At 40.8% G+C, this 23413-nt stretch overlaps 1 protein-coding gene across 41 annotated transcripts in view, besides 1 other annotated feature; it reads left to right on the top strand.

Moving 5' to 3' along the window:
- DENND1A (DENN domain containing 1A) overlaps positions 1-23413 on the top strand; it is a 550469-nt gene that overhangs the window by 197310 nt on the left and 329746 nt on the right. The window lies entirely within an intron of this gene.
- Positions 7033-7327: a silencer, noted in NCBI's record as "tiled region #1336; HepG2 Repressive non-DNase unmatched - State 23:Low, and K562 Repressive non-DNase unmatched - State 24:Quies". NCBI's record gives its function as "represses a minimal TATA promoter and a strong SV40 promoter by Sharpr-MPRA in HepG2 and K562 cells {active_cell/tissue: HepG2 | K562}" and the evidence as "EXISTENCE:reporter gene assay evidence [ECO:0000049][PMID:27701403]".

The following is a 23413-nucleotide window of genomic DNA, read 5'->3' as shown; positions in this document are numbered from 1 at the left end:
ACAGCAAAACCTTGGCAGGATTCTCATTCCAGAGCCTCTATTCCTAACTAAATTCAATCAGATAAGTGTATTACAAGAGTTGCAATGTATTCATTTTTCAAAATTAATAGATTTGGTGAGACTTTTCTATTTTTATTTTTAATTTGTGTACAGTAAAATTTCCTCATTTTGTATAATTTACTGAGTTTTGACAAATATGTAGTCATATATCTGCCACCATAACCACCATACGAGCACTTCTGTCCTCTCCCACTCCAGTTCTCTTGTGTTGCCCCTGTGTGGTCAAACCCTTCTCCTACTCTTAACCCCTCTTCTCCGTCTCTATAGTTTTACCTTTTCCACAGTGTCACAAAAATGTAATCATATGGTATTACCTTTTGGAGACTGTCTTCTTTCACATAGTAAAATGCATTTGAGATCCATCCATGTTGGTGTGTGTATCTGTGATTTATTCCCTTTTATTATTGAGTAGGTATTCCACTGTAGAATGTGTTCATAGTTTGTTTATTCGCTATTGAAGGACATTTAGGTTGTTTGGGGGTTTTATGATTATGAATAAAACTGTTACAAACATTTGCACACAGATTTTGGTGTGAACACAAGTTTTTGTTTCTTTTGGACGAATACCTAAGAGTGGAATTGCTGGGTGTATGTTGCCAAGCGTATGTTCAACTTTGTAAGAAACTGCCTGCTTTCCAAAGTGGTTGTTGTATCATTTTGCATTCCCACAAGCAAGGTGTCAGAGTTCCAGTTGTCCCACGTACTCACAAGCATTTTAGCTATTCTATGTGTGTAGTAGGAGCTATTGTGATTTTTTAATTTGCGTTTTCCTAATAATCAGTGATTGGGGCATATCGTGCTTATTTGTCATTTGTATATCTTCTTTGGTAAAGTATTCAAATCTTTTGCCCATTTAAAAAAATTGATTTGTTTCCTTATTGTTGAGTTTCAAGTGTTCTTTAAGTTTCTTGACATAAATCTTTTTTCAGATATATGATTTGCAAATCACATATTGTCCCAGCCTGTGATTTCTCTTTTTATTCTCTTAACAGTGATTTTCTACAGAACAAATGATTTTAATTTTGATAAAATCATAACACATCAATCTTACCTTTTATGGATCATGTTTTTGGTGTCATATCTAGGAACTCTTTGCCTATCCCAAGGTCACAAAGATTTTCTCCTATCTTTTCTTCTCAAAGTTTTATAGTTTTATGTTTTACCTGTAGGTCTGTGATCCATTTAGAGTTAATTATTTTTAAGGTATAAAGTATAGGTTGAATTTTTTTGTAGATTGTTTTTGTTTTGCATATGAGCATCTAGTTGTTCCAGCACCATTTGTTGAAAAGACCATCTTTTCTCGATTGAGTCATCCTTGTGCCTTCGCAAAAATTAATGGACTACGCAGTGTTTGTGTGGATCTGTTTCTGGACTCTATTCTGTTCCATTGTTCTGCGTATCCATCAGTATTATACTGTCTTGATTGTGGCTTCACAGTAAGTCTTGAAATCAGATAGCATTAATCTTCCAGCTGTGTTTTTCATTAAAAATTTTTTTTTAAATTATACTTTAAGTTCTGGGATACATGTGCAGAACGTGCAGGTTTGTTACATAGGTATACACGTGCCATGGTGGTTTGCTGCACCCATCAACCCGTCATCTACATTAGGTATTTCTCCTAATGCTATTCCTCCCCTAGCTCCCCACCCCCACAACAGACCCCGGTGTGTGATGTTCCCCTCCGTGTCCATGTGTTCTCACTGTTCAACCCCCACTTATGAGTGAAAACATGCAGTGTTTGGTTTTCTGTTTGTGTGTTAGTTTGCCGAGAATGATGGTTTCCAGCTTCATCCATGTCGCTGCAAAGAACATGAACTCATCTTTTTTTTATGGCTGCATAGTATTCCATGGTGTTTATGTGCCACATTTTCTTTATCCAGTCTATCATTCATGGGCATTTGGGTTGGTTCCAAGTCTTTGCTGTTGTGAGCAGTGCCGCAATAAATATATGTGTGCATGTGTCTTTATAGTAGAATGATTTATAATCCTTTGGGTATATAACCAGTAATGGGATTGCTGGGTCAAATGGTATTTCTGGTTCTAGATCCTTGAGGAATCGCCACACTGTCTTCCACAATGGTTGAACTCATTTACACTCCCACCAACAGAGTAAAAGCGTTCCTACTTCTACACATCCTCTCCTGCATCTGTTGTTTCCTGACTTTTTAATGATTGCCATTCTAACTGGGGTGAGATGGTATCTCATTGTCGTTTTGATTTGCATTTCTCTGATGGCCAGTGATGTTGAGCTTTTTTTCATATGTTTGTTGGCTGTATAAATGTCTTCTTTTGAAAAGTGTCTGTTCATATCCTTTGCCCTCTTTTTGATGGGGTTGTTTGTTTTTTTTCTTGTAAATTTAAGTTCTCTATATATTCTGGATATTAGCCCTTTGTCAGATGGATAGATTGCAAAAATTTTCTCCCATTCTGTAGGTTGCCTGTTCACTCTGATGATAGTCTCTTTTGCTGTGCAGAAGCTCTTTAGTTTAATTAGATCCCATTTGCCAATTTTGGCTTTTGTTGCCATTGCTTTTGTTGTTTTAGTCATGAAGTCTTTGCCCATGCCTATGTCCTGAATGGTATTGTCTAGACTTTATTCTAGGATTTTTGTGGTTTTAGGTCTTACATTTAAGTCTTTAATCCATCTCGAGTTAATTTTTGTTTAAGGTGTAAGGAAGGGGTCCAGTTTTAGTTTCCTCATATGGCTAGCCAGTTTTCACAACACCATTTATTAAATAGGGAATCCTTTTCCCATTGCTTGTTTTTCTCAGGTTTTTCAAAGATCAGTTGGTTGTAGATGTGTGGCATGATTTCTAAGGCCTCTGTTCTGTTCCCTTGGTCTATATATCTGTTTTGGTATCAGTACCATGCTGTTTTGGTTACTGCAGCCTTATAGTATAGTTTGAAGTCAGGTAGTGCGATCCCTCCAGCTTTGTTCTTTTTGCTTAGGATTGTCTTGGCTATGCAGGCTCTTTTTTGGTTCCATGTGAAATTTAAAGTAGTTTTTTCTAATTCTGTGAAAAAAGTCAGTGGTAGCTTGATAGGGATAGCATTAAATCTATACATTACTCTGGGCAGTATGGCTATTTTCATGATACTGATTCTTCTATCCATGAGGATGGAATGTTCTTCCATTTGTTTGTGTCCTCTCTTATTTCCTTGAGCAGTGGTTTGTAGTTCTCCTTGAAGAGGTCCTTCACATCCCTTGTAAGTTGTATTCCTAGGTATTTTATTCTCTTTGTAGCAATTGTGAATGGGAGTTCACTCATGATTTGGCTCTCTGTTTGTCCATTATTGGTATATAGGAATGCTTGTTTTTGCATGTGGATTTTGTATCCTGAGACTTTGCTGAAGTTGCTTATCAGCTTAAGGAGATTTTGAGCTGAGACGATGTGATTTTCTAAATATACAATCATGTCATCTGCAAACAGAGATAATTTGATTTCCTCTCTTCCTATTTGAATGCCCTTTATTTCTTTCTTTTGCCTGATTGCCCTGGCCGGAACTTCCAATACTGTGTTGAATAGGAGTGGTGAGGGGGGCATCATTGTCCTTGTGCTGGTTTTCAAAGGGAATGCTTCCAGTTTTTGCCCATTCAGCATGATAGTGGCTGTGGGTTTGTAATAGCTCTTATTATTTTGAGATACATTCCATCAATATCTAGTTTATTGAGTGTTTTTAGCATGTAGGGGGGTTGAATTTGTTGAAGGCCTTTTCTGCATCTGTTAAGATAATCATGTGGATTTTGTCATTGGTTCTGTTTATGTGATGGATTACGTTTATTGATTTGTGTATGTTGAACCAGCCTTGCATCCCAGGGATGAAGCTGACTTGATCGTGGTGGATAAGCTTTTTAATGTGCTGCTGGATTTGGTTTGCCAGTATTTTATTGAGGATTTTCGCATCGATGTTCATCAGCGATATTGGCCTGAAATTTCCTTTTTTTGTTGTGTCTCTGCCAGGTTTTGGTATCAGGATTATGCTGATGTAGCATCTATGTATCTATCAATACTATACTGTCTTAATCGTGGCATCATAGTAATTCTTCAAATCAGATAGCATTAATCTTCCAGCTGTGTTTTTCATTTTTAAAATAGTCTTAGCTATTCTAGTTTCTTTGCTTTTCCACATAAATTTTGCTCTTCTAGTTTCTTGACCTTTAATAGCTATAGAAAATCCCACTGTGATTTGGTTTGACATTGGATTGAATGTATAAAATGACTTGGGTAAAGATGACTGATGCCTGTTTTTTTTTTTTTTTTTTTTTTTTTTTTTTTGGGAGACAGAGTTTTGCAATTGTTGCCCAGGCAGGAGTGCAATGGCACGATCTCGGCTCACTGTAACCTCTGCCTCCTGGGTTCAAGCAGTTCTCCTGCCTCAGCCTCCTGAGTAGCTGGGATTACAGGCATGTGCCACCACGCCTGGCTAATTTTGTATTTTTAGTAGAGACAGGGTTTCTCCATGTTGGTCAGACTAGTCTCTCACTCCTGACCTCAGGTTGTCTGCCCGCCTTGGCCTCCCAAAGTGCTGGGATTACAGGTGTGAGCCACTGCGCCCAGCTGCAAAGATAACCTTTTTACAATATTTGGGTCTTTCAGTCCATGAACATAGTACATCTCTCCATCTACTTAGGGATTCTTTTTTTTTTTTTGAGACAGAGTCTCACTCTGTTGCCCAGGCTGGAGTGCAGTGGTGCGATCTTGGCTCACTGCAAGCTCCGCCTTCTGGGTTCATGCCATTCTCCTGCCTCAGCCTCCCGAGTAACTGGGACTACAGGAGCCTGCCACAATGCCTGGCTAATATTTTGTATTTTTAGTAGAGATGGGGTTTCACTGTGTTAGCCAGGATGGTCTCGATCTCCTGACCTCATGATCTGCCTGCCTCAGCCTCCCAAAGTGCTGGGATTACAGGCATGAGCCACCACGCCTGGCCTATTTAGGGATTCTTTGATTTCTTTCTTTGGTGTTTTGTGGTTTTTGGCATACAGTTCCTACACCTGTATTGTTAGATTTATACCTAAATATTTATTCCCTTTTTTTTTTCTTTCCCTTATTGGTGCTAATATGAATGGTACAGCTAATAATTAAATACTAAGTTTTTATTACTTTCATTCTTGGCTTTCTGAAGGTGTTTTCCTATCATTTAAGGTCTTTAGCAAGTAAAAGATTGTTTCTTGATGTTTGTCCTTTGAGTCATCATCTGTTTATGATTTCACAGCCCTTGCACCATTTTGTAATTATGATGTCAAAGCAAGTAGCTTCAAAGGATACATCTGGAGGATCGGAAAAGTGCTGTTCTCTGGATAGGTGGGTTAGATTTGAGACAGAATCCATGTTTCTTTCCTTGAGTGTCATAGGTGTTTTAGAATTTCTTTTGTTTTGCCTATGAGAATATCATTTAATTTCTTTTACTTCAGAAAATCTAGTTTGAAGTATGGATATTAACTTTTAGCTTGATATAAATGAGGCTCTGTAGTAGGCATTCCAGGAAAAGTGGATGTTTTCTGGCTCTTTTCTCTTAGATGACTAAACAAGAAAACATTTTCTGGGAAAAGAAGAGCAGCTGGTACTCTCATTATATTTCCTTCAGTGGTTCTGTACCATCTCCTGTTCATGTTTTATTGTTGTATACCTTACACACTAGCCAAGTAGAGAGAAGGTATTGTGTTGAATACTTTAATGCTGATCATCCCGTTTAGATCTTGTGACAACTGGGTAAATTACACGTGACAACACTGAGCTTCAGAGTCACCTGACCAAGGTTCTATGACTGCCTGGAGGACATGACTTGAACATAAGCCCTCTACCACAGAGTCCCTGGCCTTTCCCACTCAGCCCCATGACAATAAAATTGGAGAAGACTCTTAGAAGGCAAACTTTTTGGGAGGATAGGATACCTTTGCAAGTCTGCTGAAAGCTCCAGGAACTGTCTCCAAAAAAATGTTTATGTGGGTTTCCTTAAAAAGTTCTATAGACATTATAGGTTTTCACAGAACCCCTTCTGTGGTCTCTGGATCATAGGCTAAAAATCCATATTTAAGATCTTTTCTTCACTTGCTGTTTTTTTCACCATTATTAAGAATTACCCAAGTACTGTATACCTCTTCTATGATACCAGGGAGCAAATTTCACACTACCTATTGTGGGTGCTTGTGTGTGAGCAACTGGTAAAAGCCAGAGGCTCCTCCCTCTATTCTCTTCATTCATTTTTTAATGCTCTGTGCTGTGTACTGGGGATTCAGCTGTGAATAAAGCACTATCCCTGTCCTCAAGGACTTCATGGTCTGGTGCATTTCGGAAATGGTCATTTTTGGAATGGCTAAAGTATGTTCGTGTGATAGGGAGAGGCAGCATGGAGTGTGGTGGAAGAATCTGGATTCATAGTCAGGCTTGGATTCAATGTGAGACACGTTATTATTGAATTATCTGAGGGGCTTTTGTGTCAAGGGAATAATGATGCTAATGCCTACCTTACATCCTTTACAAATGAGAGCTTTTCTTCGTAAAAATGACTTCTTCTGAAAATGAAATACATGTAAAGTCCTGAGAAGAACACTTGTTGCAGACTAGGCCATTAATAAAGGTTGCCCATTATTAAAAATTAACACATTTTATTCAACAAATATTTGAGAGGGAAATCAATGCTGTGAGTCAGGTCCCATTAATAGAGATGGATGTATAAAGTCGTATCATAGTGCAACACAAACTTTGATATTTAAGGTCTGCATTCACTAATGCCCAGTAAGATTTTACTAAAAACTGGTTTAAGTCGTGAGTAGAAATTATATTAGGTTGTGCAGTTTTTCTTACTTACTAAAAGCTGAACGTGTTTTTCTTTTGTTGTTTGTTGTTTACCTGTTAGAATTTAGTTTATAAGGGGCCACGTAGGTATTTCCTCAGGAAGATATCTTCCTCAAGATTTCCATGGCATAATTTGTGACAGAATTAAGTTATGCCACCTTTGAAGTCGGTCACAGCCCGAAAGCACAAGAAGTTGTTTACAAAGGAACCCATCGATTCTCCTTCTTTCTCTGGAAGCATCCGAGCAGTGAGGCCCGTACAGTCTGTTTGGCACAGTGACTGCTCTCAGCTGGCCAGGGGCCCTCCTGCTGCTGGGCAGAGGATGCGCCAGAGCTTTGCTTGCAGCTAAGCAAAGCCTGCCTGCAGTTCTGCTCGTGGTTAACTGCGGCCTTGCAACTGTGTACCACAGCCTACTGGTTTAGTTGCAATCTCTTTTCCTTAATATTTTCCATCTGGCCAACAATGACCTATAAAGACAGACACAAAACAGGGTTTGAATTATAGGGAGTGTGATGCTGAAATGTTTCCAAATCACACTCTAGAACCTGTAGTCCCGGGCAGCTGCCTTTGCATGCGGGACAGAAGGAAACTTTTCTCAAGTTGGTTTGCAAAGCACTGAGTCACATCAAAGACCTGAGCCATTCAGCTTTTAAGTGTTTTAAAAGGCTTCATAAATTCCTTCTCTGTCACTGAATTTTAGCATTTAACTCACAGTTCTGCTACTGATATTGAACATTTTTGAGAAAAATATAATGAGGGTCACAAGAGTGTTTCATATCCAACTTCTAAATTTTTAGCTTTATCTAAAGCTTTAACAATTAGTGAAGCTTGGGCATAATTGGTGTCATTGTGCTCTGAATGGCGTTACAATTGCAGAGATGTTTTACTATAAATTTAGAACTCATTGAAACAGATTTCAAAAATGAGTAAGAGTTGCTTTTGAATTTCTCTTGCTAAGAATTTTCCTGAAGATGCATTTGTTAATGGTTTTGAGCCAGATTGAAATGGTATGCAATAAAGTCATCTCATATTTTTGTATCATTAGAAGCCAATTTAGAATATTTGTCAAAATTAGAATGGAAGTTCAGATTTGGAAAATTTTTTTATCAGCTATCAAAGCACTTGGGGATGATTTGTGTTTTTTACAGCTTGAATCGTTTGAGAATTGCTATTCTTCTTAGTCTTTATTTTCAGAATATCTCTTAGTCTAAGAAAGGCGAGTTGCTTCTCCCTTTTTGGAAGATGACCTGTGCTCAGAGAGGTTATGGTTTGGCTTCTGTGGCACAGCCTTGAAGAGAAAGCTGGGGAGGCCTGGCCAGACATTTTGATGCTCAGACCTCAAGTCCATGCTGCCACCTCCTGTCTGCATCCTAGCTTTCATTTTAAATCAACCAAGCTTTTCTTCAGAAGTCTGCTCAATGACTTTTTTTTTTTTTTTAATTTTATGCTTCTCTGTCCTGTCTTTTATTTCTCTCTTCTCCTCCCCTCTCCTTCCCCTCACTCCAGGTGGTTAACTCTTTGTGCCAAAGTTGAAGTCAGATTTGGCCTGGAGCCAACATTGAGAATTCAGTGTGTCTATTTTTCAGTACCTCTAAAGGTTGAGATTCATGCTGAAGTCTCATTAGGAAATTTAGGTATGTGTGGTTTTAGAAGCTGATTAGATGCTCCACAGATTTGATCTCCTGGATGCTCCCTCCCTTCAGCCTCCCTCAACGAGTTGTGCTTCTTTTCTATTGTGGCTCTCAATTTCCAAGTCTGGGGTTAGGATGAGAAATGCAGGTTAATTAGAGCAACCCAGTTGACTCTAAGAATGGGAGTGAGCACCAAGCATTATGACTACAAAGGTTAGACTAGTTCAGTGTCTTTGAGAAGGGAAGGGAAGAAGGGAGGGAAATTTGGATGTTCTTCTTTAACAAGCTGAGCAGCAAATAAAGATCACACTAGAATATGGTGGGTGTTAGGTATCACCTATTCATTCCTTCAATAAATATTGGTTTAGTCAACATCTACTGCATTATACTATGAACCAAGCAATGTAGTTGACACTGGAGTCAGAGAGATGACATGTCCTTGCAGGAGAGATGGTCAGACTAAAAACCTTGATGTGATAAGGGTATAAAAGCATGAAGCCCTGAGGGAGGTGTATTAGTCTGTTTTCATACTGCTGATAAAGATATACCTGAGACTGGGAAGTAAAAGAGGTTTAATGGATTTACAGTTCTGCGTGGCTGGGGAGGCCTCACAATCATGGCGGAAGGCAAGGGGGAGCAAATCACATCTTACATGGATGGCAGCAAGCAAATAGAGCTGGTGCAGGGAAACTCCCATTTTTAAGGCCATCAGATTTCATGAGACTTATTCATTGTCACGAGAACAGCATGGGAAAGACCACCCCCATGAATAAGTTACCTCCCACAGGGTTGCTCCCATGACACATGGGAACTGTGGGAGTTACAGTTAAAGATGAGATTTGGGTGGGAATGCAGCCAAACCATATCATTCCACCCCAGCCCCTCCCAAATCTCATGTATTCACATTTCAAAACTAATCATGCCTTCCCAACAGTCCCCCAAAGTCTTAACTGATTTCATCATTAACTCGAAAGTCCACAGTCCAAAGTCTCATGTGAGACAAGGCAAGTCCCTTCTGCCTATGAACCTGTAAAATCAAAAGCAAGTTAGTTACTTCCTGGATACACTGGGGGTACAGAAATTGGGTAAATACAGCCATTCTGAATGGGAGAAATTGGCCAAAACAGAGGGGCTGTAGGCCCCATGCAAGTCTACAATCCAGCAGGGCAGTCAAATCCTAAAGTTCCAAAATTATCTCCATTGACTCCGTGTCTCACATCCAGGTCATGCTGATGCAAGAGGTGGGTTCCCATGGTCTTGGGCAGCTCTGCCCCTGTGGCTTTGCAGGGTACAGCCACCCTCCTGGCTGCTTTCATGGGCTGGTATTGAGTATCTTCAGCTTTTTCTAGGCACACAGTGCAAGCTGTCAGTGGATCTGCCATTCTGGGGTCTGGAGGATGGTGGCCCTTTTCTCACAGCTCCACTAGGCAGTGCCTCAGTAGGGACTCTGTGTGGGAGCTCCAACCCACATTTCCCTTCTGCACTGCCCTAGCAGAAGTTCTCCATGAGGGCCCCCACTCCTGCAGCAAACTTCTGCCTGGGCATCCAGGTATTTCCATACATACTCTGAAATCTAGGCAGAGGTTTCCAAACCTCAATTCTTGACTTCTCTGCACCTGCAGGCTTAATACCATGTGGAAGCTGCCAAGGCTTGGGGCTTCCACCCTATGAAGCAACAGCCTGAGCTGTACTTTGGACCCTTGTAGTCACAGCTGGAGTGACTGGGACACAGGTCACCAAGTCCCTAGACTGCACCCAGTAGAGGGACCCAGGGCTCAGCCCATGAAACCATTTTTTCCTCCTAAACCTCCGGGCCTGTGATGGAAGGAGCTGTCGCAAAGGTCTCTGACATGCCTTGGAGACATTTTCCCCATTGTCTTGGTGATTAACGTTCAGCTCCTCGTTTATGCAAATTTCTGCAGCTGGCTTGAATTTCTCCTCAGCAAAATGGGATTTTCTTTTCTATTGTATTGTCAGGCTGCAAATTTTTCAAACTTTTATGTTTTATTTCCCTTTTAAAACTGAATGCCTTTAACAGCACCCAAGTCACCTCTTGAATGCTTTGCTGCTTAGAAATTTCTTCTGCCGGATACCCTAAATCATCTTTCTCAAGTACAAAGTTCCACAAATCTCTAAAGCAGGAGCAAAATGCTGCCAGTCTCTTTGCTAAAACATAACAAGAGTCACTTTTGCTCCAGTTCCCAGCAGGTTCCTCATCTCCTTTTGAGACCACCTCATCCTGGACCTTATTGTTCATATCATGATCAGCATTTTTGTCAAAGCCATTCAACAAGTCTCTAGGAAGTTCCAAACTTTTCCACATTTTCCTGTCTTCTTCTGAGCCCTCCAAACTGTTCCAGTCTCTGCCTGTTACCCAGTTCCAAAGTCACTTCCACATTTTTGGGTATCTTTTCAGCAATGCCCCACTCTACTGGTACCAATTTACTGTATTAGTCTGTTTTCACACTGCTGATAAAGACATACCCAAGAATGGGAAGAAAAAGAGGTTTAATGGACTTACAGTTCCATATGGCTGGGGAGGCCTCACAATCATGGTGGAAGGCAAGAAGGAGTAAGTCATGTCTTACATGGATGGAAGCAGGTAAAGACAGCTGGTACAGGGAAACTCCCATTTTTATAGCCATTAGATCTCATGAGACTGATTCATTATCATCAGAACAGCATGGGAAAGACCTGCCCCCATGATTTGATCACCTCCCACAGGGTTGCTCCCACGACATATGGGAATTGTGGGAGTTAAAATTAAAAATGAGATTTGGGTGGGGACACAGCCAAACCATATCATGAGGTAGCTCACTTTTGTTGGTGGAGATGGGAAATGGGATGAAACCTGAAGAGCAACTAAGAATGTTACCCAGGTGGATGGGGAGGTGGGACAGGAATGGGAGAGAAGGCAGAGCATGATAGGCAGGTTGGACAGCACGGGCAGAGGCCCAGGACCAAGGGAGCACAGTGCTTCTGCAGAGTGGTGGAGCATTCAGTATGCCTGGAGCAGAGGAGAATGGCAGGAAATGAGGCTGGAAGGACCAGAGAGCAAGGACCTCACAGGTCATGTGGTGGCTTTTGGACTTGATCCTGAAGTCAGTGAAGAATGACTTGGAGAATCTTAAGTAAAGGGATGACATAATCAGATTTGTGTGTTAGAAAATCATTTTGGCTCTAGCATAGAGGAACCACTTACAGGTGAAGTGAGAAGTTGTGGGGATCTGCATTGGGGCAGAGAGGGAGGGGAAGAGTGGGTGTGGAGAGTAAGTGAGCAAGCAGGTGAGCTTGCACTCTAAGGCTGAAGACAGTTCTGGGTCAGACACTTGGAGTATCATTTATAATCTGAAAGTTCTGCTTTTCATACCTAATTCCCTAGCATTCTGCTTTTTAAATGATCATGGGATGTTTGATAAATGAATGCATGAATGCCATTTCTTTTAGGTAAAGACTGGTTTACTCTTCTAATTCCATTTTGCCTAAACTAGCCTTGAGTTGTTTGTGTTCCCCAAGTGTTTACTCCCAGCAAGATGGAGGCAGCCCACGCATGCTGGATGGCAGCAGGAAGTCAATCTTGGATTTCAGAAATTGCCATAGATAAGAATCAGCTGCAAATAATCATGGCCCAACCCATAAGAGACAGTGTTGGCAATGATAAAGTTAACTCTGCTAAGATTAGTCTGAAAAGAGTTTGCATGTATTTTGAATAGCCCTGATAGAAGGGTGAACATGTGTCTGTACCAGTTGCTGGGCCTAGTAAAGAGATTGTATTTTGGTGAATGAAAGGATCAGAGGGGCAAATCTCCTGATCCTTTGCTAGGCTGAGCTGGGTCCTCCACTTTGATTACATTTGAAGTCGCAGGCCTATTAATGAGAACACTTTAACTGGTCTCGGACCAATCTTTCTTCCTCTTCTCTTTACCTTTGTTCATTTGGGGCCCCCCTTTTGCCCCCCAGCATGCACAGACCCTCCTCCATTAAAGAATAAGAGCATTTTCCCTCGGAGCCCTGGCTGAGGCAGCTGCCTCTTCTGTCATCCCTCACTCCCGCTGCCCTGTTGTTATCTTCAAGACTTAGCTGGTGGTTGCCAATCTGTTACACCTGCTCTCAGGGGCCCTCCCTGTTTGAATACGTGGTGATGTTGAGCTACATTCAGATGTAGAAGGTTCACTCTTGAAAGAAAAGCTCATGTATTTAATTGCTTATTGTGGCATGGAGGGAACTGGGTAATTGAGTATATTTTCCATTTTCAGTATGGAAATTAAATCAAAGCAAGCCTTTATGATTTGTGGTCGGTACTTAGGCAGCATGGCATGGTGAAAGGAGAGCAGGCTTTGAAGCCACAGACTTGAGTTCAAGTATTGCTATCTTCATTTGCTACAGGTTGAGCATCCCTTATCTGAAAATTCAAAATCCGAAATGTTCTAGAGTTGGAAACTTTTTGAGGGACATGACTCCACAAGTGGGAAATTCCACACCTGACATTATGTGATGGGTTGCCATCAAAATTTAGTCAAAACTTTGTTTCTTGCACAAAATGATTAAAAAATATTCTATAGAAGTACCTTCAGGCTATGTGTTATGAGGTGTATATGAAACATAAATGAATTTGATGTTTAGACTTGGGTCCCATCCTCAGGATTATCTTGCTCTATATATGCAAATACTTCAAAATTAAAAAAAAAAAATCTGAAAACCTTTAACACTTCTGGTCCCAGGCATTTCAGATAAGACAACTCAGTCTGCGATTTAACTGAGCCTGGTATTCACTCTCTTTAAAACGAGGATTAATAATAGCAGCAGAGTCTCAGTCGTTGCAAGGATGATGATTAAACAAGATAATAGATGTCTAAGTGCCAGCTCTGTGTGTGATACCTAGAGAGCACTCCCAGGCGGACAGTTCAGTTCTCTTCGTGATTGTCATCCACGGCAGTGGCAGCCATAATGCAATGGGGAGAGGATAGTCTCAGGTGTCAGAACAGGGTTTGAATCCTGGCTCAGCTGCACATTAGCAGTGTTTGTGATACTGAGCAAGGTACCTCTGAGCCTTAGCTTATCAAATGGGAGTCGTAATTCCTACCTTACAGGGCTACGAAAACTTGGGATAACGTTAACCACTGTGTTAGTCTATTTTCACACTGCCTATAAGGACATACCTGAGACTGGGTAATTTTTAAAGAAAAAGAGGTTTAATGGACTCACAGTTCCTCATGCCTGGGGAGGCCTCACAATCATGGTGGAAGGTCAAAGGCACTTCTTACATGGCGGCAGGCAAGAGAGAGAATGAGAACCAAGCAAAAGGGGTTTCCCCTTATAAAACTGTCAGATCTCGTGAGACTTATTCACTACCACGAGAACAGTATGGGGGAAACTGCCCCTGTGATTCAGTTATCTCCCACCGGGTCCATCCCACAACATGTGGGAATTATGGGAGCTACATTTCAAAATGAGATTTGGGTGAGGACACAGCCAAACCATATTACCACTTGTACAGAGCTTAGCAAGTTGTGGACACTCTGGGTGTAGTCCTTTGTTACTGTTGTCTGGGCTTGCCTTTGAAAAGAACATTGTCCCAACAGAGTCTGTAGTTCCAATGGCAGTTCAGTTTGAGTCCCAAATTTTGATGAGTCTTAATGTTCCTGCAGCCAAGAGAGTCCAGAAGAGAATCGTTCCAGTGTTCTTCTGGACCTGGATCTCATATGAGTAACAAAATGCAAGCATACAATCCTCACTGTGAATCTACAGGAGGCTGTTGTTTCAACTGACTTAAGAAATTTCACTGAGTATGGAAAGGATGTCAGAACTTTAGCCAGAGCTGCAACTATAATCACATTATTTTGCTGCTGCTCAGTGGAGCTAAGAAAGCTTAAGAGTATTACCATCTGGGCAAAGCTAGGCAATGGTGAACTGTGAACTGCTTACCAACTTAACAGAAACTCTTGCTACCTCATTCATTAATTAGGCCTTTATGGCACACCTTCTTTTGGTTGCTTGGCAACCATAATAGCAGTCATTAAATTCTGTCATTTTGTATTAACCCTTTGGCCCTGGGTGGATTGGGAGCCCCCACCTTAACACTAATGCATTTTACATTAGTACGTCTACCTGGGAAATCCCATTCCCTTGACACTTCAGCTATAAAGAGCAAATAGCCAGAGTCCAAAATAGAAAAAGTTCTTTTTTTCTTCACATTAGTGTATGTGCTTTTAAGGCTTTACAAAATGTATCTGTCAGGATGGAGGCCATTTCCCAATTTGCTGACAGACAGACATAACATACACCCAGCAAGATGAAAAGACAGCTAGTTTCCCAGAAAACAGGAGCTGACTGTGACTTCTGTGGGCTTATGGAGGAAGGAGGTGGTGTGAAAACCAGATGGGAGAGTTGTTAAGAGTTGTATGTTTCCAAAATTGCCTTTGTAGCTCCTTTGCAAAAATTTGGACCATGCATGCTGGAGGGATAGGGGGCTATTCCAACTACACACTGTTTAGCATTTCAGCAACTGATTAGAGTGGTAGGGAACAAACTGTGTACTCTGGCAAAGTCTGTGAGGAAATGCAGTGGACACAGGGCAACCTCTGGGAGACTGTCAAGGGCTCCTATGATGCTCTGCCCACTAGGTTACATAAATGTGAACAAGATATAAAAGCCTTACATTAAAATAGGGCTTAGGAATTTAAACTGGAGGTATATCCTCTTTTCTATAATGAGCTAAAATGATTTGAGACTTGTGTAGTATAATTAGAATAATTCCATTTCTCAGAAATATTAATTTTTCTCTTAGTGGAAGAAAACAGGAAGTACGTTAGGTTTTGGCATCAGACAAACCTAGGTTGGAATCCTTACTCTACCCAGTAACTGTGTAATCTTGTACAGTTGCCTTTCTTTTTTATCTCTCTTTCCTTATCTGTAAAGTGGGGATAATCATTCCCCTTCAGAGTATTGTTATAAGGATTAAATGAGTCACATACATTATACGTATCTCCTAGTTAAGGCATGGCCCATGGTATAGACCCCATTCATTCTTTCAACAAACAGGACTGCAGTGGTGATCAAGAACCTCTCCACTCTCATGATTTTACAGTCAAGCTTAGTGTCAGATCCTCTTTGTCCCTCAGTTTACTAATGACGCCCAGAGAGGCTGTCACTTGCCAACTATCTGACCAGATCTGATAGTAGTATCTGGGTTGCCTGGCCACCGGGTCTCTCAAATAAATTTTATATGTAATACTGCTAAGTTTCCTAGGCGCGGTGTGACTATGTATTTACTATTTCTCAGTATATTTTGGGTGGTAACTTTAGAAGGCAAAAGGAAAAGTAAAAAGTAACCACAATTAACTAGTCCAAGTTATTAGTATCAAACTTAAAAACTAGATTAGTCATTTGCACTTAACGGTTCATGTGGTTATAGTAAGGTGGGCCCTGCTAAAAATGTTGGCATTGTTTATTGAGGAGTTTAAATAAAAATTTACTCCCCTTGCCTCTGCCCCGTCAAGCATGTACGTGATACTCACAGCATCTGGGATTTAAAGTGGCTACTGTTTGTTAAAAAAGCAGTAACTTCCCTGAAGGAGTTTTGTGAGTTAGGAGAAGTCACAAAGGCAATTAATTTTGTTCTTCAGAGCAGTACCTCCACTGCATTCGTTTGTACTTTTTGCAAGCTTAAATTATAACCCAGGAGCCAGCCGTACCATGATCCGATTTGATATTTAGTTTTATTTTATTAGTAGTTGTCTTTAATGGATGTCTTGTCATGTAGGTTTCCTGATTATTAGTAATTTAAATTGACTCTGAGAATGAAAGGAAACCACAGGCATGAAACTGATGGACTGTGACTACAGCGGTCTTCCAGCTTTCAAGGCAGCTGTGATGGCTCTGCAGGCTCCCTTGGTTCCCCCCTCCTTCGTCCTTTTAAAGCTTTGAACACTCTTTTAGCTAATGCTGAAAATGAGAGCTTAATACTGTTACTATATGGGAACTTTTAAAAGCAAATGGGCATCCTAAGTGTTCTTTCCTCTTTGAAGGTAAGTGTTATGCATGGGTCTACTCTCTACTTGATCAGATCTAATTTGACCCAGGAGTAGAGATCTGTGAAGATGCTAACTGAAAAACAATGATTGCAGGGAAAATAATTTCCCTTGTTCTTATGCTGTGCCTTTCTACCACTCCCTAGAATTGCTTACAGTATCTTTGTGAAAGGAACAGGTGAAAATTTACTTTTCTTGCCATCTTTTGGTAGTAGCCAAGATCACATGTATCCTAAAAGAGGCTGCTCCCTGGAGTGCTCCAGAGCAGCACAAGTCATGCTGTTAAAGGGCATTTGTTGTGGCTTTAAGATCCAGTGCCTACCCGGGTGTGGTGGCTCATACCTGTAATCCCAGCACTTTGGGAGGCTGAGGTGGGGGGATCGCTTGAGGCCAGGAGTTTGAGACCACCCTGGGCAACATGGCAAAACCCCATCTCTATTAAAAATACAAAAATTAGTTGGGCATGGTGGCGCCGCCTCTCGTCCCAGCTACTCAGTAGGCTGAGTTGAGAGGATCACTGGAGTCAAGGCTGCAGTGAGCGGAGGTTGTACCACCACACTCCATGCTGGGCCATGGGAGTGATATCCTGTCTCAAAAACAAAAAAACAAAAAGCAACAATAAAAAACAGATCCAGTGCCTATAGCATTAATTTCTCTGAGCTCTAGACATATAGTTGATGATCCTGGAGTCTGAGTACTTTAGGTTAGATTTAGTTTAGTTGCTGCTTAACAGCTGCAAACTAGCTCTAGGTAGTTTGCTAAATAACTTTACTCACTCATTCATTAATGAAGCCTGTGTTAAGTGTCTCCTTTGTTCAGTCATTGATGTGGGTGAATGAATGAAGAAAGGAAGTTTTATATGAGTCAGTGAATGAATGAGAGTTGTACTTTCTGTCTTCAGGCAGCTCACAGTCTCTGATAAGATGATCTGACCAAGGCTCTTTTTATGTGAGTGAATTTTAGAACCTCGTGCCAGTGGGATATACTGCCAACCCAGAGTCTATAAATCACAGTTATTTTTTGCAAGAATTGAGTATTCTCATTTGTCTTGCTAATCCAGAAAAGTTAAGTTGTAAACAAAACATTTATTTTTTATTATTATTATTATTTTTTTTGGAGACAGAGTCTCTGTCACCCAGGCTGAAGTGCAGTGGCGCGATCTTGGCTCACTGCAACCTCCACCTCCCAGGTTCAAGCAATTCTCCCTCTCTCAGCCTCCTAAGTAGCTGGGATTACAGGTGCCCGCCACCATGCCTGGCTAATTTTTTTATTTTTTAGTAGAGATGGGGTTTCGCCATGTTGGCCAGGCTGGTCTCGAACTCCTGACCTCAGGTGATTTGCCTGCCTCAGCCTCCCAAAGTGCTGGGATTACAGGCATGAGCCACTGTGCCTGGACGTAAACAAAACATATTTTAGAAGTTACTGAAAAATAATTTTTAAGAAGCCAATGAAACCTGACTGTGGAGAAATATATTCCTAGCAACCAACCTGTGGACTCAGAGAAAGAACCTAGGATGGAATCAATTTTCAATTTGTCTGTTCCCCCACTTCCTCCATTGTTTTATAGTTATGATCATTTAAAGGCACGTGAATGTATGTGAAACTGTGCTGTTTTTCTCATGCTAGAGCACTTCTGGTTCTCTTACAGTAGGGCTGACTCTGAGAGTAGGTTTTTGTTTTTGTTTTTGTATTTTGAGATGAAGTCTCACCCTGTCCCCTAGGCTGGAGTGCAGTGGCATGTTCTTGGCTCACTGCAATCTCTGCCTCCTGGGTTCAAGCAATTCTCCTTCTTCAGCCTCCCTGGTAGCTGGGATTACAGGCATGCACCACCACACCCGGCTAATTTTTGTATTTTTAGTGGAGATGGGGTTTCACCATGTTGGCCAGGCCGGTCTCGAACTCCTGACCTTAAGTGATCCACCCAACTCAGCCTCTCAAAGTGCTGGGATTACAGGTGTGAGCCATTGCACCCGGCCAATGCTGAGAGTTTTTGTCCCTGCAACATGATGGTAGACAAGGTCGCCTGGCAGGAGCTACCTGCACAGACAGCATTCCCCACTGCTGGGGCTGGTATCTGTGGCTGAAACAGGGTTAGCTGCAATGTGAGAGGACGCTAGTCCCAGCCCACCAGAGTGATTTCTTTGGAGTGTTCTGATAAAACTGCCGATCCTTTCTCGAGCATAAAATGCCACTGCTTTGTCTTTCCTTTACTCAATCAATTCTAATATACTTGCTAGGCAAGCATGCTTCTAACTGTACACACTAATTTTTAAGTACTGTTAAAAGTAAATTCCAATTTTTAGATGGCTCTTATAAGGGGCATCATGGCATAATTTGTGATTTTTTTTTAACTCTTCTCTCCATATGTAAAGGTATAGTGGCAAAGTCAGACAGATCTAGAGTCAAATCTCAGCCCCGTCTTTCATAAACTATATGACCTTGGGAAAGATATTTCACCTCTGAATTTCAGTGTTTCTGTTGATGGAATAGTGACAATAATGTTATTAGTAATAATATTCTTATTGTCAAAATTAAATATGATAATGTATCTAAGAATTATCAACATAGTGTGAATTTCAGGAGAGTCTAGTTTTTTTTTTCTAATTGTCTTTATTTTAAAATGTATTCATTGTTATTTACCCCAACTTGTGGAAAACTGTGTAGGTTTCAGTGCCATCATAAGGAGTATGTGGAAAGGTATGATGAAAAGCCCAAAGTCCCGTGGTCCCACTCCTATGAGCAGTTGCTGTGGAGACATGGAAATGCTATTCTGAATTGACCTAACCAGTGGTCCTGTGCTCTAATCTCTGATTCCCAGATGATAACAGATGTCTCTTAAGTGATTCCAGGTGTTCTGAACATAGTGAAATCTCTTATCTGCCACATCCACAGTTACTCCTTAAAGTTCTTTTATATTACCTCTTTAATAGTATTTGAAGGATCGAGATTCCTTGACAGCTGTTGGAACTCTAACTCCCTACTTGAAGGGACTCTGCTTTTAGTCCTCAGGTGATCTCCAGACTTTCATGCTGTACCGTTTGATTTGGGCCCACATGCCAAATAGTTTTAATATGTTCTCCTTTTTTATTAAACAGTTTTTGTCATGTCCAAGAGATTTCCTGCTGGTAGCAGCTATAACTTTTTCTCACCATCAAGGCATTCTCTGCCCCTTGTTAACTCTCGGTCAGGGATTTTCTGCATACTTCTCTTCAAAATATTCTCGTTGGCATCGTATAGGCGGTGAAGTTTTCCCTGACTACCTTAGGAGTTCAGTACTCCCTTTTCCATCATTTAGAGTGTTTTATGCATACTTGTAGTTTCAGACCTTTAAAGGCCCATTTGTACTTTGGGGGACATTCGCCTTTGTCCAACCTGAGCTTTGCTTCTGTAGCAGGAGCTGAGGTATTTAGGTAGAACTTTCTGCCAGATTAAATCTGTTGGAAATATCGAAGGCAGAATGTTGTAGTTACAGAGTTGAACTTGATTTCTAATGCCAGCTCTACATTTTAATATCCTTTTCACCTTGGGCTAGTTACTTAAGTCTTTTCACATTAGCCTGTTTTGTTAATTAATTAATTTCTCTCCTAAACCCAGTTAAAAGAAGCCAACATTTCCACTGTTATAACAGAAGCAGGGAGGAGGAACCAGTGGCTACAGATTTCCATATGTACATCTGGTGCCTGGTCTATGTCATTGTCGTCATGGTGGTGGTAACAACTAATGCTTATGGCATGTTTACTCTGTGCCAGGCACTATTCTAAATGCTCCATATACTTGTCTTTTTAAATCTCCATCACAACCCTGTGAAGTTGGTACTACTGTTATCTCCAGTTTAGAAATGAATGAACAGGAGCACAAAGAGGTTAAATAATTTACCCAAGGGACAGAGCTAGAGTAAGAACACTGGTGATCTGGTTCCAGAGCCCAGACTTCCAAAAGTGTTTAATGAATATGTAAATATGTATTGAATGAATGAATGTGTTGTTGGAAAGTTGAGGTAACTCCTGTCTAAACTTCTGTTTTCTTGATGAAGTAGGTGGTAAGATCAGATACTGAGGGTGAGGAAGAGAGAGTATGAAGATTAAAGATTTGAGTAGATATGGAATAGTCATGTAGGCCAACTAGTGGAAAAGGCTGGACAGTGTTGAAGACTTAGTTGATGTTGTAGATTTTATAAATGTAGAATTCCTAGAGGTATAATATGTTTGTGTGGAATTTTTCCCTAGCTATGCATATTAGCCTAATGGAGGCACAGAGAAGGTAAATAGTTGCATTCATTCAAGAATAAGGCATTTCCATGCATCAGGGATGAAAGGAAAAGAGACACATGCCTTTATGGTCTGGATATGATGGACCATAGAACTGAGCTGGATAAGCCAGTGGTGAAGAAAGGAGAGTCTCATACTTGAGGAAAATGAAGAGACCATTAGTGATAAGGGTTAAGAACAGGTAGAAAAGGAGCCGTAAGATGAATGAACACCAAGGATAAGAAACTAGTTTCAGATTTGGGAAGTCTTAATTAGTGATTTTAGAGGCAGGGCGGGTTTGGTAATGGGAAGGTTAAGGGGAGACTAAAGAATGTGGCTGGGATACAGTAAAGAAGGAGGTCAGAATGATGAGGTCATTGAAGCCCCTGAGAGCCAGGGTGTTGAATGACTGCCCCCATCAACTGTGCACATGGTAGTTATGCTTTAGGTTTGCAGTAGGTAGGATGTCACAGTAGCAGTGGACTTGAAAGACATTGCTTTGTTGAATTTATATATATATATATATATATATATACATATATACATATATATATATATATATTTTTTAATTTATTATTATTTTGAGATGGAGCCTCCTTCTGTCCTCCAGGCTGGAGTGCAGTGGCGTGATCTTGGCTCACTGCAACATCTGCCTCCTGGGTTCAAGCTATTCTCCTGCCTCAGCCTCTCTGAGTAGCTGTGATTATAGGCACCCGCCACCACGCCTGGCTAATTTTTGTATTTTTAGTACAAACAAGGTTTCACCATGTTGGCCAGGCTGGTTTTGAACTCCTGACCTCAGGTGATCCACTCGCCTCAGCCTCCCAAAGTGCTGGGATTACAGGTGTGAGCCACCGCACCTGGCCTCTATATATTTTTTAATTGACAAAAACTGTATATATTTATACTGTGTAGCATGAGGTTTTGATACATGTATATATTGTAGAATAGCTAAATCAAGCTATTTAACTTATCAATATAATGCGTATTTGTTTACTCCTTTTTGTGTAAATATTCTCAAATATACATTACTCATCCAAGATAGATAGGGGAAATACATTAAAAAGATCTCTTCCGGCTGGGCATGGTGGCTCACGCCTGTAATCCCAGCACATTGAGAGGCCGAGGCAGGTGGATCATGTGAGATCAGGGGTTTGAGCCCAGCCTGGCCAACATGGTGAAACCCTGTCTCTACTAAAAATACAAAAATTAGCCTGGCATGGTGGCACACACCTGTAATCCCAGCTACTTGGGAGGCTGAGGCAGCAGAATTGCTTGAAGCCGGGAGATGGAGGTTGCAGTGAGTCAAGATCATGCTACTGCACTCCAGCCTGGGCAACAAGAGTGAACCTCTGTCTCAAAAAAAAAAAAAAAACCTCCAAGATTTTTCATTAAATTATAATCTTTAGGGAGTACAGCTTGTCCCTAACAACATTTAAAAATTATCAGAATTTCTTAAAAAGCTCAAAGCAAATTTGTATGATGCCAGTGTGTGTGTGTGTGTGTGTGTGTGTTTAATGAGGCTTTATAGATGACTCAGCAGCGTAGCTGCACTCAAGTTATCTTTTCTTGGTTGGTGAGTGACTAGAAAGGATTCTCTAGAGTGGTAGCCTTGTTGAACTTAGCCTTCAGAATTCAGCATTCAAACTCCAGTGGGGATTTCCCAGTTGATTGTTGCCTGTAACTAAACAAAAGGCCTTCAAAACTCTTATTACATGGTGTGTTTTTGCAAAATTTTGTTGGTGACATAAAAAGACAAAACAGGACATGCAAAAGCCCTTATATCACAATACCCTAGTATTACCTTTTCTTAGATTTTGTATCTTTAGACGCACACACTTTTTAAATTAGTGAAAAACATTTGTATGTATGCAAGGATTATTTAGAGCTAGGTAAAGATTTGGAAGTGCTTTCGTAGTTCTTAGGTATGTTGGAAATTTGGACGTCATCATGATGTGAGGAAAAGAGTATTAACTTTGAAAGCAGAAAGACCTGGTTCAAATACTAGTTCTACCACTTGCTACCACTTGGCTATTGTGAGAAAGTTATTAAACTTTCCTGAGTGTTGGATTCTTTATCTCTAGTGATAATTCTTAATTCATTGAGTTGTGACTAGGGTAGGTAAATATATGGCACACAGTGGTTGCCGAACCAATATTAACTTTTCCTTTCCAATACCCCTCTTCCCATTATTCAAGTGAATTTTGGATCCTTTGTCTTGAAGAAATCTTGGTTTTCCAAGTTCCTTAGAAATTCCAAATGGAAACTGTCATATATTTTGCAGCTTTCATGAGTGTGGCTAGTTTTTAGGAGAAATTTCAGTAGGGACCATCAGCAGTGCAGTTTACAATGCAGGCACATGATGTCTGCTGAAATTGGCCCCTGCAGACGTTAGGGTGTATAGGTGGGCCATCACTGAGCAGCAGGCCATATAGCAAGGCAGTAGCAAGCTAGGATGCAGGAGGAAGGCAAGATCTACGGAAAACTTAAAGGGACATGGGGAAGTAAGAGATCAGGGGTGGAGGGTAAGAGGCCTCTGACATTGTTCTCTGAGGTCAAGTTCAGACTGTGCCAAAGCAGAATCAGTGCCAAGCCAAGTATAGAGACTCAAGGGGAATTCAGAATGGGGAAAATGAGGCAAGAGA

Source organism: Homo sapiens, chromosome 9 (assembly GCF_000001405.40).
Source record: "Homo sapiens chromosome 9, GRCh38.p14 Primary Assembly".
Classification (NCBI taxonomy): domain Eukaryota; kingdom Metazoa; phylum Chordata; class Mammalia; order Primates; family Hominidae; genus Homo; species Homo sapiens.
The sequence above is the reverse complement of the archived record's forward strand: the minus strand, read 5'-3'. Positions and strand labels throughout refer to the sequence as shown.